General features: G+C 45.9%; 2 protein-coding genes across 17 annotated transcripts in view, besides 1 other annotated feature; one reads left to right on the forward strand and one right to left on the reverse strand.

Moving 5' to 3' along the window:
• The window catches only part of ACACA (acetyl-CoA carboxylase alpha), a 321845-nt gene extending 308970 nt beyond the window's left edge, over window positions 1–12875 (reverse strand). For all 6 annotated transcript variants that reach the window (XM_011524701.2, XM_006721853.2, NM_198834.3 and 3 more), the window contains exon 1: window positions 12301–12875. In XM_011524701.2, the coding sequence (XP_011523003.1) occupies window positions 12301–12338 (38 nt within the window). In that variant the 5' untranslated portion in view covers window positions 12339–12875. The remainder of the gene's footprint in view (window positions 1–12300) is intronic.
• TADA2A (transcriptional adaptor 2A) overlaps window positions 12925–16455 on the forward strand; it is a 72840-nt gene continuing 69309 nt past the window's right edge. For 6 of the 11 annotated variants that reach the window (NM_001488.5, XM_047436612.1, XM_047436610.1 and 3 more), the window contains exon 1: window positions 13263–13535. The gene's annotated coding sequence lies outside the window, so the exon portion shown is untranslated. Of the gene's footprint in view, window positions 12989–13262; window positions 13536–16455 lie in introns of those variants that run through there. The other 5 variants (NM_001166105.3, XM_017024982.1, XM_017024981.2 and 2 more) reach the window with 2 other exon arrangements.
• Window positions 14057–14741: an enhancer, noted in NCBI's record as "H3K27ac-H3K4me1 hESC enhancer chr17:35768105-35768789 (GRCh37/hg19 assembly coordinates)". NCBI's record gives its function as "activates a minimal SCP1, AML or CMV promoter by ChIP-STARR-seq in primed H9 embryonic stem cells {active_cell/tissue: H9 hESC(primed)}" and the evidence as "EXISTENCE:reporter gene assay evidence [ECO:0000049][PMID:30033119]".

Here is a 16455-nt window from a genome sequence, read left to right on the forward strand (position 1 = left end):
TAATCCATTAATAACTTCAAGTCCTATATTCCCTTCCAGTGAAGATCTGTAAAAACAGAGATGGGAGAGATGGCAGAGGAGAAAGGAGAACTCCTGTGTGGGCTTTGGGATGTGGATCTGCAGATCACTTCAGAGCTGGGCACCATTTCTAGTGTCACCATTATAGACCAAGTTATACAAAACTTGATAAAACACTGTTTCTGTGGAAGTGCCAATTATTCCTGTGGAATTATTTGCTGTTTCTTTTCTTTTTCTTTTTTTTTTTTTGAGATGCAGTTTCGCTCTGTTGCCCAGGCTGGAGTGCAATGGTTCAATCTCAGCTCACTGCAACCTCTGCTTCCCGGGTTCAAACTATTCTCGTGCCTCAGCCTCCCCAGTAGCTGGGATTACAGGCATGCGCCACCACACCCAGCTAATTTTTGTATTTTTAGTAGAGATGGGGTTTCACAATGTTGGTCAGGCTGGTCTCCAACTCCTGACCTCAAGTGATCCACCCGCGTCGGCCTCACAAAGTGCTGGGGTAAAAAGTCCAGGCGTGAGCCACTGTGCCTAGCCTTATTTGCTGTTTCTATTGCAAGTTCTTTCTTATTAAGCTACCACACTTTGTTTTTATAATTATTAAAGTGCATTCTCGGCCGGGCGCGGTGGCTCACGCCTGTAACCCCAGCACTTTGGGAGGCCGAGGCAGGCGGATCACGAGGTCAGGAGATCGAGACCATCCTGGCTAACACGGCGAAACCCTATCTCTACTAAAAAAAAAAAAAAGAAAAAGAAAAAATTAGCCGGGTGTGGTGGCAGGCATCTGTAGTCCCAGCTACTAGGGAGGCTGAGGCAGGAGAATGGCGTGAACCCGGGAGGCGGAGCTTGCAGTGAGCCGAGATTGTGCCACTGCACTCCAGCCTGGGCGACACAGCGAGACTCTGTCTCAAAAAATATGTATATATAAAATATATAATAAAATAAATAAAGTACATTCTCATTATAAAAGCTTTTAGAAAATACTCAAAAGTATAAAGAATAAAAGTAATACCTAATCTCTCTTCCCAGAGATAATCATTAACACTGGTTAATATGTAATCAGTGGTTAATATATCTCTTTATGGACATTATAAATATATATACACATATAATAAAAAGACACATACAAAACTTCATATTCTTCACACCACTTTAAATCTGTCTCTTTGGCTGGGTGCAGTGGCTCATGCCTGTAATCCTTGCATTTTGGGAGGCCAAGGCAGGTGGATCATTTGAGTCAGGAGTTTGAGACCAGCCTGGTCAACATGGTGAAACACCATCTTTACTAAAAATACAAAAAATTAGTTGGGCATGGTGGCAGGCGCCTGTAATCCCAGCTACTCGGGAGGCTAAGGCAGGAGAATCGCTTGAACTCAGGAGACTGAGGTTGCGGTGAGCTGAGATCGTGTCACTGCACTCTAGCCTGGGTGACAAAGCAAGACTCCATTTCAAAAAAAAAAAAAAAAATCTGTCTCTTCTTCTTGGCTAATATATTACTACTACATTTCAAGAAGTTGTGTTTATTTTCAAGTTTTAGAGGTGACTAGAAGCTGTTCCACCTTTTTTTAAATTTTAATTTTTTGAGATGGAGTTTCACTCTTGTTGCCCAGGCTGGAGTGCAATGGCGTGATCTCGGCTCACCGCAACCTCCGCCCGGGTTCAAACCAATTCTCTTGCCTCAGCCTCCCAAGTAGCTGGGATTACAGGCATGCACCACCATGCTCGGCTAATTTTTGTATTTTTAGTAGAGACGAGGTTTCACCATGTTGGTCAGGCTGGTCTCGAACTCCCGACCTCAGGTGATCTGCCCATCTTGGCCTCCCAAAGTGCTGGGATTATAGGCGCGAGCCACCGCGCCTAGGCTGTTCCACCTTTTTAAAGGGTTGATGTCACCCCAATACTTTTTGATAGGCCCAAAAATTAAGATAGGTAGTTGCTTAGGGCAAAGAAGGTACATTCACAAAAACCTCCAATTTAAACTTTTTAAGTTATTGCTGAATGACATTAAGTAAACAGCCATATTTGCGTGTGTATTAAAAGCATTACTTTGTTAAACAGAAACACTTAAAATATACAACAGCCAGGCATGGTAGCTCACGCCTGTAATCCCAGCACTTTGGAGGGCCGAGTCGGGTGGATCATCTGGGGTCAGGAGTTCGAGGCCAGCCTGGCCAAGATGGTGAAACCCTGTCTCTACTAAAAGTACAAAAATTAGCTGGGTGTGGTGGCACATGCCTGTAATCCCAGCTACTCGGGAGGCTGAGGCAGGAGAATCGCTTGAACCCAGGAGGCAGAGGTTGCAGTGAGCTGAGATGGTGACACTGCACTCCAGTCTGGGTGACAGAGTGAGACTCCATCTCAAAAAAAAAAAAAAGATAAATATAAATAAAATATAAAACATATTTTGTATCTCTGTTTTGCCATTTCTTCATTTTTTAGATAAACCCATAATCTCAAAAATCAAAGTGACCTGGGACTGTGGATCTCTGAAAGGCCTGAACAAGCCATTAACATCCTTCCTTTTCTGTACTCCCAGGCTAGTGCAACGGTGGTTTCAGGAGTGGTACTGGCCTTAACCATTATTTCCTCATATCTCCTACCCCCTCCTATTAATATTTTGGATGCTTTCTAATCACTGCCCAGCAGATTCTGACCTAGAGCACTTTTCCTATGTCTATGTCCATAACTAGCCATTTTCCAAGGAAGAGTTGCTGCATGTACTTATGACTAAAGGCCAGAAGAAATCTTTTTATTTTTTGTTTGCCCTGGACAGGTTGAGAGTCCTATGATCCCTTCCTCCCCATCCCACTGATACTCCACTCCCACTTTCAAAAAGTATTCCATTTTCTGAGTTGACACAATGGCCCTCAGGTTGCCTTGAATTACTTATCTTCCCTATTATTAGTAATAGTAGTAGTAGTATTATACTTTAAATTCTAGGGTACATGTGCACAATGTCCAGGTTTATTACATATGTATACATGTGCCATGTTGGTTTGCTGCACCCATTAACTCGTCATTTACATTAGGTATTTCTCCTAATGCTATCCCTCCCCCATCCCCCCACCCCACGACAGGCGCTGATGTGTGATGTTCCCAGCCCTGTGTCCAAGTGTTCTCATTGTTCAATTTCCACCTATGAGTGAGAACATGCGATGTTTGGTTTTCTGTCCTTGCGATATTTGCTCAGAATGATGGTTTCCAGCTTCATCCATGTCCCTACAAAGGACATGAACTCATCCTTTCTTATGGCTGCATAGTATTCCATAGTGTATATGTGCCACATTTTCTTAATCCAGTCAATTACTTATCTTCTTATATGTACTTACTGGTTCTTCTGCTTGAAGCCCAGTATCTGTGTTAATTTGTATATCTCTATATTACTTTGTATCAACAAAGCACCATGTTCATAGCAGATACTAAAAATATTTGTTGATAATGTCACACCACCAAATGGATAAGCTAAGGGTAGCATAGCTGACTTTCTAGAAGAGAATGAAGTAAGCTTTATTTTTATATCAAAGTTGCTATCAGTTACCAGGGAGATGCAAACCAGTAAAGGGTCATACTATAATTGTTGCTAACACTTGAATTCATCTCTTTAGACTTATTTTCCCTCATATTTCATCATCTGTTCCTTTTTCTCTTCCTCTTCATTATTACAACACTTTTCTTTTGTCTTTCCTTATTCAATGACCTGATTTGTCAGTGATCAAATTCTAAAAATTTCCCTCAATCTGAACTTCTAGTGAACTTCGATCCATGTTTATACTGAAATTTCAGATCCAAAAAGTCTTTCCTTTACCCCACCCTCCTTCACTTGGTGCAGTGTAGCAACAGGTGCACCTTGGACCGTAATTGAGGAACTTTCACTGGACTCTTGTGAATTTGCACCATCCAGTGGCTGAAATTGCTAACTGCATCCTCTGAAAAAAGGCAGTGGGCACAAATAAAAAAATGTAAAATGGGGGCTGGGCGCGGTGACTCACTCCTGTAATCCCAGCACTTTGGGAGGCCGAGGCAGGTGGATCACAAGGTCAAGAGATTGAGACCATCCTGGCTAACACTGTGAAACCCCGTCTTTACTAAAAATACAAAAAATTAGCTGGGCGTGGTGGCGCGCGCCTGTACTCCCAGCTACTCAGGAGCCTGAGGCAGGAGAATCACTTGAACCAGGTAGGCGGAGGTTGTAGTGAGCCGAGATCGCACCACTGCACTCCAGCCTGGGTGACAGAGCGAGACTCTGTCTCAAAAAAAAAAAAAAAACAGTTTGGCCTCCTCTTCTAGCTGTTGTGGTATCACTTTTTTTTTTTTTTTTTTTTTTGAGACGAAGTTTCGCTCTTGTTGCCCAGGCTGGAACGCAACGGTGCAATCTCAGCTCACTGCAATCTCCGCCTCCTGGGTTCAAGTGATTCTCCTGCCTCAGCCTCCCGAGTAGCTGGGATTACAGACATGCGCCACCATGCCCTGCTAATTTTGTATTTTTAGTTGAGATGTGGTTTCTCCATATTGGTCAGGCTGTCTCGAACTCCTGACCTCAGGTGATCCGCCCACCTTGGCCTCCAAAAGTGCTGGGATTATGGGATTACAGGCGTGAGCCACCATGCCCGGGCTTTTTTTTTGAGACAGAGTCTGGCACTGTTGCCCAGGCTGGAGTGCAGTGACACGATCTCAGCTCACCGCAACCTCAGTCTCCTGAGTTCAAGCGATTCTCCTGCCTTAGCCTCCCGGGTAGCTGGGATTACAGGCGCCTGCCACCATGCCCAGCTAGTTTTTGTATTTTTAGTAGAGACAGGGTTTCACCATGTTGGCTAGGCTAGTCTCGAACTACTGACTTCAAGTGACCCACCCACATCAGCCTCTCAAAGTGCTGGGATTACAGGCGTGAGCTACTGCATCGGGCTTTCATCATATCCTTATGAAACGCTTATGAATTAGACATTATTATTTTCATTTTACATAGGAGGAGAAAGGAGATGCAGGAAGATAATAACTTCCCTAAATTCTTTTTTTTTTTTAGATGGAGTTTCACTCTTGTTGCCCAGGCTGGAGTGCAATGGTGGGATCTCGGCTCACGGCAACCTCTGCCTCCTGGGTTCAAGCGATTCTCCTGCCTCAGCCTCCCAAGTAGTTGGGATTATAAGCATGCACCACCATGCCCGGCTAATTTTTTATATTTTTAGTAGAGATGGGGTTTCACCATGTTGGCTAGGCTGGTCTCGAACTCCTGATCTCAAGTGATCCACCCGCCTCAGCCTCCCAAAGTGCTGGGATTATAGGCATGAGCCACCGCACCAGGCCCTAAATTCTTAAAGGTGATAAGGAGTGGAGACAGAATTCAAATTCAGGAAAGTTTCAAAGTCCATGCTTGCTTTTTCAATTATATTAAACAATGCCAAGTTCCTTGCATATTCCAAGCATTTATTGGGCACCTGTTGGTTGCACAAGAGTATAGACTGCCTGTCACCAAATGATGCAAAATAATTTAGGAGCCTGTTTTGACAGTCACAAGATGGAGGTCCTGTACATTAGGCAGAAAAGTATGCAGCTAGGCAGCCTAGTAGGCATTTTAGAATTGTCTGATAAACCGAGCCACTTAGCAACAATATATTTCTAGTTCACCTAATTTTTTGGGTTCTGCCCAAAGGCTGGTGACTCATGAGACAGATATTCCGCACTCTGTGTACATGAGAAAGAAGTCAGTAAGGTGAGGAAGAAGCAGAAGAGATGGGTAACGAAGGCCTGGATTCACGAAAACTGTTTAATGGCCATGGTATTATGAAAATCCTGATGCCAGCCAACTCTTGAGTGTTAAATAATGAGAGTCAGTTTATTAGTTATATTTGGACAGATCTGGTTTTTTGCTTTATTTTTATAAATAATGTTCTAAGAAATTTATTTTATTTAATTTACTTATGGCATATTTAAACATTTTTTGGCAAATAAAAATTGTGTATATTCATGATGTACAACATGTGTTGATAGATGTACTCATTGTGGAATGGCTAAATCAAGCTAATTAACAAATCCATTACCTCAAATATATACCCATTACCGCAAATACTTATTTTTTTGTGTGGTAAGAACAACTAAAATCTACTCTCTTAGCAATTTTCAAGCATATATATATTTTTGTTTGTTTGTTTGTTTTTGTTTTTGAGACAGGGTCTTGCTCTGTTGCCCAGGCTGGAGTGCAGTGATGCAATCTTGGCTCACTGCAACCTCTGCCTCCCGGGTTCAAGTGATTCTCATGCCTCAGCCTCCTGAGTAGTTGGGATTACAGGCATGCACCACCACGCCTGGCTAATTTTTGTATTTTTAGTAGAGATGGGGTTTCACCATGTGGGCCAGGCTGGTCTCAAACCCCTGACCTCAGATGACCCACCTGCCTCAGCCTCCCAAAGTGCTGGGATTACAGGTGTGAGCCACAGTGCCTGGCCTCAAGTATATATTTTTAACTATAGTCACCATATAGTATAATAGATCTCCTGCACTTATTCCTGCTGTCTAACTGAAATTTTGTATCCTTTGGCCAAAATCTTCCAATTCTTTCTCTCTCATCCCCTGGTAACCACCATTCTGCTACTTCTACAAGCTTGACTTTTTTAGATGCCACACATAAGTGAGATTAAGCAGTATTTGTTTTTCTGTGCCTGGCTTATTTCACTTAGCATAATGTCCTCCAGGTCCATCTATGTTGCTGCAAATGACAGGATTTCCTTATTTTTTAAGGCTGAACAGTATTCCATTGTGTGTGTGTCTGTGTGTGTGTGTGTGTGTGTATCTATATCTCACATTTTCTTTATTCATTCATCCATTGGCATACATGTAGGCTGTTTCCATGTCTTGGCTATGGTGAATAATGCTGCAATGGATATGGGAGTACAGATACCTTGACATGCAGATATCATTTCCTTTGGATATATACCCAGAAGTGGATTATTGGATCATATGGTAGTTCCATTCAAAAATTTTTAAGGAACCTCCATACTATTTTCCAAAATGGCTGTACTAATTTACATTCCCACTGACAGTGTACAGGGTTTTTCTCCACATCCTTGCCAATGCTTATCTCGCTTTTTGATAATAATCATTCTGACAGGTGTGAGGTGATATCTCATGGTAGTTTTAATTCACATTTCCCTGATGATTAGTGATGTTGAACATTTTTTTCACATACCAGTTAGCTATTTGCATGTCTTTTTCTTTTGTTTTTCTTTTTTTTTTTTTTTTGAGACAGAGTCTTGCTGTTGCCCAGGCTGGAGGGCAATGGTGTGATCTTGGCTCACTGCAACCTCCGCCTCCTGGGTTCAAGTGATTCTCCTGCCTCAGCCTCCTGAGTAGCTGGGAATACAAGCGCCCGCCACCACGCCCAGCTAATTTTTGTTTTTTTAGTAGAGACAGGGTTTCACCAGGTTGGCCCGGCTGGTCTCGAACTCCTGACCTCAGGTGATCCACCCGCCTCGGCCTCCCATGCTACTTGCATGTCTTCTTTTGAGCAATGTCTTTTCAGGCCCTTGTCCACTTATCTGATGTAGGGGTCGTGAATATTTTCTCCCATTCCGTAGGTTGTCTCTTTACCTTTTTTTTTTTTTTTCCAGACGAGGTCTCACTCTGTTGCCCAGGCTGGAGTAAAGTGGCACAATCACGGTCACTACAGCCTCAACTGTCTGAGCTCAAGTGATTCTCCTACCTCAGCCTCCCAAGTAGCTGGGACCACAGGCGTGTGCTATCATGCCCAGCTAATTTTTTGATTTTTTTGTAGAGTTGAACTCTCACTAAGTCACCCAGTTTAGTCTCGAACTCCTGAGCCCAAGCAATCTTCCCACCTAGGACTGTCAAAGTGTTGGGATTACAGGCATGAGCCACCGCACCAGGCCAGAAACTCTACGTTTGATTCTAACCACAGCAGCTTAGCAGCTGAGGACAAACTGTTGGGATATTTTGGTCTCAGTCAATGGCAGCCAGGTTACCAACCCTGACAAGATACAAGTTTTCTTCGTTGGGTTCCTGGTACAAAAGTCAACCTTTTCAGTTACTTATGAATGAAAGGGCATGAAGATTGTGCTATTAGTTTATCCTGAAGGTCAATCTTCAAAAATACTGGTTCAACATGGATTTGGATATTATTAATATAAATTTATGGCTTAAAGAGGACAAAAGGTGTTTTTTTGGGTTCCTTTACAGAGATATTTAGTGAGGGAACAAGGCACTTAGTCATCTTTGCTATGACAGGTTAAATACAAGGTGTACTGGGAACATGTAAGAGGGTGACTTAACTCAGCCATTGGGGGGTCAGGAGAAGTGTTCCTAAGGAAGTGATGTCTAAGTGAGGTAGGCAGTACCTTGGCAAAAAAAACCTTGAAGTTAAGAGTGCATATGAGAAATGAAGGTATGTCCACCTGGCTGGCAAATGGAGTCTAAGATAGGGCAGTGATGATAAAGATATAGGAAGATGCTAGATCTGGAAGGGCCTTCTAAAAAGAATGACAATATAAATTTATTGTACAAATGGAGACTTTACTGAGAGTGAAACCAGGCAATATTAATACTTAGGTAGGGACAACAGATATAAACCAGGCTATTCTCAGCAAATCAGAAATTATGGTCACCCTACTTGTAAGTCACATTCAGGTGCTTAGACTTTCAGTGAAAGCATAGAGTATGTATCTTCTACATTTTGCCTAAGTGACTTCATTCTTTTTTTTTTTGAGACAGAGTCTCGCTCTGTTGCCCAGGCTGGAGTACAGCGGCACGATCTCAGCTCACTGCAAGCTCCACCTCCCAGGTTCACGCCATTCTTCTTCCTCAGCCTCCTGAGTAGCTGGGACTACAGGCGCCCACCACCACGCCCGGCTAATTTTTTGTATTTTTAGTTGAGATGGGGTTTCACCATGTTAGCCAGGATGGTCTCGATCTCCTGACCTCGTGATCCGCCCGCCTCAGCCTCCCAAAGTGCTGGGATTACAGGCGTGAGCCACTGCACCCAGCCAGTGACTTCATTTTTACTTTTGCCTTTACTTACTCATTTCACAAGTATTTGAGGATACACTTCAGAGCACTGAGGTTACAAAGACAACAGTGTCTGTCCTCAAGGTCTGTCTAGGTAAGACACACAGCCAAATAAACAATTCTAATACAGTTATACAGTTTTAGTTCTGACACCTCCAATGAGCTGTAGACTTGTATTTGTCATTTCCAGTCAGAATGCAAAACACAGATCCAAAACAGAACTTTCAATTTCTCCTCCAAATCTATTCTTCCTTCAGCTGGTCGTGTAAGTGATGCCACTATCACATCCACTTAAGACAAAAACCCAGAGGAGTACTGCCTTAATCAGTAATCAGTGTTACCCTTCTTCTCACTGTGCATGTTAATTTTGCCACATCTTTTTTTTTTTTTTTTTTTTTGGTACAGTGTCTCACTCTGTCACCTAGGCTGGAGTGCAGTGGTGTGATACTGGGTCAATGCAGCCTCAACCCTCTGGGCTGAAGTGATCCTCTCACCTCAGCCTCCTAAGTAGCTGGGACTACAGGCATGCGCCACTACACCTGGCTAATTTTTGCAATTTTTGTAGAGACGAAGTTTCACCATGTTGCCCAGTTCTCATGCCTCCTTGAACTCCTGAACTCAAGTGATCTGCCTACCTTGGCTTCCCAAAATGCAGGGATCCCAGGTGTGAGGCACCGTGTCCTGCCCTCTCCACATCTTTCTTAAGCACACTGACTAAATTGGTCTAAGTAGAGCCTAACATCAACTGAAGGGAGAGGGTAATTTCCAGGTAGTTGAATGCTATGATTTTTGTTTTTTTGTTTTTGAGACAGACTCTTGCTCTGTTGAACAGGCTGGAGGGCAGTGGTGCGATTTCAGCTCACTGCAACCTCCACCTCCAGGGTTCAAGCAATTCTTGCGCCTCCCAAGAAGCTGGGATTACAGGCATGCGCCACCACACCCAGCTAATTGTTGCATTTTTAGCAGAGATGGGTTTTCGCCATGTTGCCCAGGCTGATCTTGAACTACTGGCCTCAAATGATCCATCTGCCTTGGCCTCCCAAACTGCTGGGATTACAGGAATGAGCCACTGTGCCTGGCCCCTGAATGCTATGTTTTTAACGACTAGATCTCAGTATTATGTGGGACTAATTTTTCTACAGTATTACAACACTGATTACTGATATTCATTGTTGACAATCATGACATCCAGATCTGGATATTTGCCTTAGCCAGTCTCAAAATTTGAGTTTCAATGACAAAGACACAGATATGTCCTAAATGACTGACCCCACTTCCACTATGTGAAGTTGAGAGTGGTTGTAAAGCTGTACAGCTATAGGTGAAACACTAATGTTAATCAACTATCTGTTGAACAACTACCATGTAAAAGGACAATTTATGCCTTAGAGAGCAATTTAAAATTTTTTTAGAGATGGGGGTCTCGATACGTTGCCTAGACTGGTCTCAAACTTGGGCTCAATCCATCCTCCTGCCTCAGTCTCTCGAGTAGCTGGGATTACAGGTACACACCACTTCACCAGGCAAAGGGCAATTTTAATATTTCTACCATCCATTCTCCACACAGCTGCCACAGTGATTTTTTTTTTTTTTTTTTTTTTGAGATGCAGTTTCACTCTGTTGCCCAGGCTTGAGTGTAGTGGCACAATCTTGGCTCACTGCAACCTCCACCTCCCAGGTTCAAGTGATTCTCCTACCTCAGCCTCCCGAGTAGCTGGGATTACAGGCGCCCGTCACAATGCCCAGCTAATTTTTTTTGTATTTTTAGTAGAGATGAGGTTTCACCATGTTGACCAGGCTGGTCTCGAACTTCTAACCTCAAGTGATCCGCCTGCCTCGGCCTCCCAAAGTGATGGGATTACAGGTGTGAGCCACCGCTCCCAGCCCACAGTGATCCTTTTACAGCAAAGCTACTCCTTTGCTCTCAACCCTTCGTCATATTCTGTCACTTCCCAATAAAATCCAAACCTTACCAGATGATACATGATCTGCCTTGATTTCCATCTAATTTCTCTCATTTGCTGTGCTCCAGCCACACTGGTCTTGCCCTTTCTCCATGCCAAACAAATCCCCATTTCAGGGTCACTGCACTTGCTGCTTCTCTTCTAGGATAGTTTCCCTCTAGAAATCCATGTTGCTCCTTCTCTCATTAAATGATCAGATATTTATGTGCCTCCTTAGCTAAGAGGCCTTCCTTATCTACCCTAACTAAGAGAATCCCCATATCACTCTTATCCTTTTATCCTGATTTATTTTTCCATAAAACTTGCCACATTACTGGGCATTATCTATCATTTAGTAATGTGTATATTGCTTATTGACAGTCTTCCCTACTATAATATGAGCTCCATGAGGCAGAGACTTTGTTTTGTTCACTGCTGAATTCCCAGCACCTACAACAAGCCTACTCACTAAACATTTGTTGAATTAATCTTCAGGATACATCAAATGTAAAATATCCTATCATATATTTATTGATGTGATGCATAGGAAAATGTCTGGAAGGGTACATACCAAAATGTTAATTATTTATTTAACCTGGTGGGAGGTGGTTTTTCTTTCCTTTTCTTTTCTTTTTGAGACAGAGTTTCGCTCTCGTTGCCCAGGCTGGAGTGGAATGGCAAGATCTTGGCTCATTGTAACCTCTGCCCCCAGGGTTCAAGCGATTCTACTGCCTCAGCCTCCGGAGTAGCTGGGATTACAGGTGCCTGCCACCACACCCGCGTAATTTTTTGTATTTTTAGTAGAGACGGGATTTCACCATGTTGGTCAGGCTGGTCTAGAACTCCAGACCCTGTGATCCGCCCGCCTCGGCCTGCCAAAGTGCTGGAATTACAGGCGTGAGCCACCGCGCCCGGCAGGGCTTTTTTTTTTTTTTTTTTTTGGAATGAACTTGTATTATGCATATACCAAAAAAGAATGAAAGGGTTCACACAGGCATAAAGTGTAAGTGAATTCTAAAAAAAGGTTGGGCAAATTTATCAAAGGCAGACTTCTAAATAGATGTAACAGTTATATAGTTCAGATAAACCATGGTTTGAATTCCCTTCCCCAGTACTTCCTAGCAGTGTGATCCCAAGTTATTTATGTCAGTGCCTAGATTTCTTCACCTGGAAAATAGGGATAACAACAGGTGCCTACCTCACAAGTTTTAAATGAGACCGTATGTGTAACCTGCTTTGTGCAATGTCTGGCATGCAATAAGTACTCGACAAATGGTAGCTATTAGAATCATCATTAACAGCAGTAATAAGAGATCTTGGGACATACCTAGCCCTCAAGATTGACATCAGAGTAGACCACCACATCCTCTCATCATTGCGCCTCAATTTGGGCCTCTGAAGCCCAAAGAGGGGATGGTTCTTTCCAAAGAAGACAATTTCGACGTTCCAGGAGCATCTGATTGAAACGCACCCTCTTCACCCCTTAAAATCAGTCTGGTTCATCCACGAGCAGCCCTTCGGGGCCCGGACTGGAGAGGCGCCACGGCTCGCCGTCCCTGGGCCCAGTTCCCTCAGCCTCAATTTCCCTTGCTGCAACAGGGGTGGAGATGGGAACGTTATCCCCAAACCCAGGCAGTCCCGGCTCGGCCCGCCTCACCGCACTCCGGAGGGGACCAAACAGCCCCACGCGCCAGGAAGCCTCAGGCAACGGGCCACGCGCCACACGGGCAAAGTGATTACTGGTCGGATCAAAAGTCAGGCAAGCGGCTCAGCCCCATCCTCCCAGTCCTCGGGCACGGGGACAGCAGCAGGCGCGCGGCGGGGACCGGGAAAAGGCCAAGAGGGCGGTGGCGGGCGCTCAGCACCCGGCGGGGGCCTCCACGGCCGAGGGGCGGAGGCGGCGGGCGCGCGGCACGCGGCGCGCTCGCCACTGCGCCGCCCGGGGGCGCGCACGCAAAGCCCGGAGGCGCGCGCGACCGGCGGCTCTTTGGCGCGGATTAGGGGGTCTCGGCGAGGTGAGGCGCCAGGCAGCGCTGGGCGGGCGGGCGGGCGGGTGGCGGAGCGCGAGCCCCTCTAGCGGGACTAGGGAGAAGCGGGGGCCACGAGGTGCGGCGGGGGAGGAGTCGCGGGCTGCGGGCCCCGGCGGCGGGCTTGACGCGGCAGGCTGGCGGGCCGGCGGGCGGGCAGCGGCGGGCCTCGCCGCTCTGTGGGGGAGGGCGGTGTGGGGCCGGGCCTGACCCCGGGGGCCCGCCCCGCGTCTGGGCGGTGCCCCAGTGCCCCGGCCTCGCCATTTCCCGCTCAGCCCTGGAGCGCGTAGCTCTACCAAGAATGGCCACTGTGCCAGATGCCCCTGACCAGCGTTGCCCATTTGAATTTCCTAGCAGGCCCCCCAAAGTAGGTATTTCAGTACCCTGTTAGAGCTGAGGCGCAGGTAAAATGACTGGCCCAGGCCGGTCCCACCCCGTAAGGATTTGAACGTTGGCTCCACAACTCGGGAGCCTGCGCCTTTCCTCCTCCCAACGTGGACTCCTGCCCGGCGAAGTGCCTCACTTCCTTCTCCCGGTAACTGATTCGAATTTGGCGATTGTTAGTTTGGAGCTAGCGCCAGTGTTTCCACGGAAGTTGGTGTCAGAATGTGGTCTCTTGTGAAAGGGGGAGAAAGAAGATTCTGCAGACTGCAATATTGTGCTTTTTTGCCTTTTTTTTTTTTTCTCCTAGGCTGTACTGCAGTGCAGTGGCACGATCGCGGCTCACTGCAATCTCCGCCTCCCAGGCTCAAGCGATTCTCGTGCCTGAGGCGTGGGCCACCACGCCCAGCTAATATTTGTATTTTCAGCAGAGGTGGGGTTTCACCATGTTGGCCAGGCTGGTCTCGAACTCCTGACCTCAAGTGATCCTTCCGCCTCGGCCTCCCAAAGTGCTGGGATTACAGGCGTGAGCCACCACGCCCGGCCCTACTATTTTTTTATTTTTTGAGATGGCGTTTCTTTCGCCCAGGCTGGAGTGCAATGGCGCCATCTCAACACACTGCAACTTCTGCCTCCCAGGTTCAAGCGATTCTCCTGCCTCAGCCTCCCGAGTACCTGGGATTACAGGCGCCCGCCACCACACCTGGCTATTTTTTGTATTTTTAGTAGAGATGGGGTTTCGCTGTGTTGGCCAGGTTGATCTCGAACTCCTGACCTCAGGTTATCTGCCCACCTGGGACTCCCAAAGTGCTGAGATTACAGGCGTGAGCCACCGCACCCGGCCTCCTACTGTGCTTTTTCGAGTGTTGATCAGTCCCTATTGACTGTGCATCCTTTACTGGACGTCTGTTTTTGTTTTTGTTTTTTGAGAGGGAGTTTCACACTTGTTGCTCAGGCCAGAGTGCAACAGCGCGTTCTCAGCCCACCGCAACCTCCACCTCCCGGGTTCAAGCAGTTCTCTTGCCTCAGCCTCCCAAGTAGCTGGATTACAGGCATACGCCACCACGCCCAGCTAATTTTGTATTTTTAGTAGAGACAGGGTTTCTACATGTTGGTCAGGCTGATCTCGAACTGCCGACTTCAGGTGATCTGCCTGCCTCGGCCTGCTAAAGTGCTGGGATTACAGGCGTGAGCCACTGCGTCCAGCCTTGACATCTGTATTTGAAATGACACAGCTATCCCTTGTAAGACACTGCGCAAGTAACATACTCTTTCAGAGCTTGCTTGCTTTTGAAAAAGCAGCTTGCCCCAAAAGTGTGGGAGTGAGGATTCAAAGAATCCCCACACCTTGGTACCCACGGGTACCTAGCAAATTGAAAAAGTTCAGTAAATTTGGCAGTTATTTGATTGCTGCGTTCGTAATACACCCTTGCTAGACTCATTTTTCTTCAGAGCTCAACTTTTCCTGAGAGGACAGCAAAGGGAGACCTACCCCACCCCAAAAAGGGAAAGTTCTTTGATGGCAGCGTTAGCAGAAATGTTGCCCACACTTAGTGATGAATTATTCTCCAAGCTAAAAATTACCAGGGTGAAAAAAATCACTTCAGAAAAGCTAAAGATAAATTAACCTTTTGTAGAATTAACATTTATTAGTCCACTACTATGTGTTTATTGTATTCCTCCTGTATGCTTGGCATTTTAAAAGCATACAGATAGGTATCCGATATAGTCTCTGCTTTCACTTATTTATTATTTATTTTTGAGACAGGATCTTGCACTGTCGCCCAGGCTGGAGTGCAGTGGCACAATCTCGGCTCACTGCAACCTCCACCTGCCTGGTTCAAGCAACTCTCATGCCTCAGCCTCCCGAGTAGCTGGGATTATAGGCGCCCGCCACCACGCCAAGCAAATTTTTTTGTATTTTTGGTAGAGACGGGGTTCTCACTATGTTGCCCAGGCTGGTCTGAAACTCCTGACCTCTGGAGATTCATCTGCCTCAGTCTCCCAAAGTGCTGGAGTTACAGACATGAGCTACCACACCCAGCCTGCTTTCACTTAATTTAGAAGTGGGGGAAAATAGACATTCAGAAGTAATACTCACAAAGTAGAATGTGAAAAATGCCAGATAAAAAGCTGTGAGTGGGCCGGGTGCGGTGGCTCATGCCTGTAATCCCAGCACTTGGGGAGGCTGAGGTGGGCAGATCGCCTGAGGTCAGGAGTTCGAGACCAGCCTGGCCAACATGGTGAAACCCCGTCTCTACTAAAAATACAAAAATTAGCCAGGCCTGGTGGCCCGCGCCTGTAATCCCAGCTAATTGGGAGGCTGAGGCAGGAGACTCGCTTGAACCCGGGAGGCGGAAGTTGCAGTGAGCTGAGATCGTGCCATTGCATTCCAGCCTAGGCAACGAGAGCGAGACTTAGTCTCAAAAAAAAACAAAAACAAAAACAAAAAGCTGTGAGTGTACAGAAGAAGGATTATTTTTTGACTTAGTGTAAAATATTATTTTATTTCTGCTTCAAAGAAGATACTTTGGGCCAGGCATGGTGGCTCACACTTGTAATCCCAGCACTCCAGCACTTTTGGAGGCCGAGGTGGGCGGATCACTTGAGGCCAAGAGTTCGAGACCAGCCTGGCCAACATGGTGAAACCCTGTCTCTCCTAAAAATACAAAACAATTAGCCAGGTATGGTGGTGGCACATGCTTGTAATCCCAGCTTCTCAGGAGGCTGAGGCACAAGACACAAGAATCAAAAATGAGAACCAAATGGAGAATGAGAATCCCTTGAACCTGGGAGGCAGAGGTTGCAATGAGTACTCCAGCCTGGGCAACAGAGCCAGACTGTGTCTCCAAAAAAAAAAGAAAAAGAGACTTAGTCTGTCCTCCAAGCTGGAGTGCAGTGGTGGCTCACTGCATCCTCGACCTCCTAGGCCCAAGCGTTCCACCTCATCCTCCTGAGTAGCTGGAACCATAAGCATGGGCCACTGTACCCGGCTAACTTTTTTTTTTTTTTTTTAAGAGATGGGGTCTCCCTATGTTGCCCAGGCTGGTCTTGAACTCCTGGGTCCCAGTAAT

This window comes from Homo sapiens, chromosome 17 (genome assembly GCF_000001405.40).
Source record: "Homo sapiens chromosome 17, GRCh38.p14 Primary Assembly".
NCBI classification, from domain to species: Eukaryota; Metazoa; Chordata; class Mammalia; order Primates; family Hominidae; genus Homo; species Homo sapiens.